Source organism: Homo sapiens, chromosome 15 (genome assembly GCF_000001405.40).
Source record: "Homo sapiens chromosome 15, GRCh38.p14 Primary Assembly".
In the NCBI taxonomy this organism is placed as follows: Eukaryota; Metazoa; Chordata; class Mammalia; order Primates; family Hominidae; genus Homo; species Homo sapiens.
In genome coordinates this window covers 96,796,040-96,797,531 of record NC_000015.10, presented here as the reverse complement: position 1 = coordinate 96,797,531, position 1,492 = coordinate 96,796,040, and the positions used below count along the sequence as shown (strand labels likewise).

The following is a 1,492-nucleotide window of genomic DNA, read 5'->3' as shown; positions in this document are numbered from 1 at the left end:
ACAAGGGCAGTAGAGTGAGATCAAGCTGGTTTCAAAGTCCCTCAATATTTGCTCATCTCAGTTCTCCCCCCTGAAATAGAAATGTTATTTACCTCCCATGGTTACTCTGATGCCATAAGTGAAATAAAACATATAAATTATCTAGCACAGTATCTGGCACCTAACAGGCACTCAATAAGCGCTGTCACTATTTGCCTTCATTTTTAAGTTTGGCATACCAAATTTTATTTTGATTAGAAATAGAAATTGGCAGAAAAGCCACTGATAACAATGAGAGTTAGGAACCGCTTTAACTAATTCCAACTTTTAAGAATGTGTTAAATGTTTCTTTCATCAGACCTTCAATTCTTCTTCTATATTCCATGGTGATTTTTGTAGGTTTTACAGCTATTAAGTGTTCTTTCGGAAAAGTGAACCTTCAAAACATCTGAATCCATCAAGATGGGCCAGGTAATAAGCGACCTCGACAGTCTCGGTGTCTCCAGCAATAGGTTTGTTTCTCATCCCTGCGTCACGGCCTGTTGTGGCTCTCTGCAGGCTCTGCGCTGCTGTCTTCTCTTGGGGACCTGGAATGTCTCGTCACCTCACTATGTCAGAGTGGGAGAACGCCAGAGGGTCAGCGCAGCTAAATGCTTCAGCCTCGAAGTGACCCTGGTCACCTCTTTTCACCAGAGGTAGTCCTGTGCCCCACCCAACAGCGAGAACTACCGTTTTCTCAGAAGAAGAGCTGGGAAACATGGTGACCTGCACTCCTGGATACCACAGTGGTCTTAGAGGACACGTGCTTCCAAGGCATTCTTATAAATGTCATTTGCTGAAATTAAAATTTAATAGCAGAGTAGGGTGACTGCAAAATCAAATGAATCCTTTATGACTGTAAACGTGTCACCTAATGCTTTCCTTTCATTCATTAAGTATCAGGTTGCCCTGATTTTCCAGCCAAGATAAACGATGTTTTCCTTCGGGATCAGTTTTGTCAGGAGCATCAAGACTCTGGAGACTATTTGAAGTGTGAGCAGACCCCTTCGACACTGGCTGCCAGCTCAGGTAAAAACTCCTCTCTTGCCCATCGCTAGCACTCCCGTGTGCTACTCTGATCAATAACTCTAGCTACAAAAAGCATCAAACACCTCAAAGACATCCCAAAGGCACAGGTCGCCAAAGGGAATAAAAAGGAAACGCTGCATATATTAATGTTCTCCTTAGGTCGCCCAGACATCCTTGTAGGCCTGAGGCCTACAAGGGGCCAGTGGTGATTGGGATGCTTGAAATTATAGAGCTGGAACAACATTTCTTTATGAAATAGCTTTTTGAGCCTCTAGAGAAAGGAATTCTAGTTCAAAGAGTGCCACTTTCCTGTTTTACAACCTGCATTTTCTCACTTAGTGAAAAAGGACACACATACAAAACAAGAAGAAAGTAAGACACCAGGGATAATGAAAATGATAATAACAATAACATTATTACGATTGAAAACAATGCAACTACCTGG

At 42.4% G+C, this 1,492-nt stretch overlaps 1 annotated feature.

Annotated features, from left to right (window-relative positions):
- Window positions 293–1,492: an enhancer, noted in NCBI's record as "BRD4-independent group 4 enhancer chr15:97339270-97340469 (GRCh37/hg19 assembly coordinates)". NCBI's record gives its function as "activates an origin of replication core promoter dependent on BRD2, P300/CBP, MED14 and CDK7 cofactors, and independent of BRD4, by STARR-seq in HCT116 cells {active_cell/tissue: HCT116}" and the evidence as "EXISTENCE:reporter gene assay evidence [ECO:0000049][PMID:35650434]".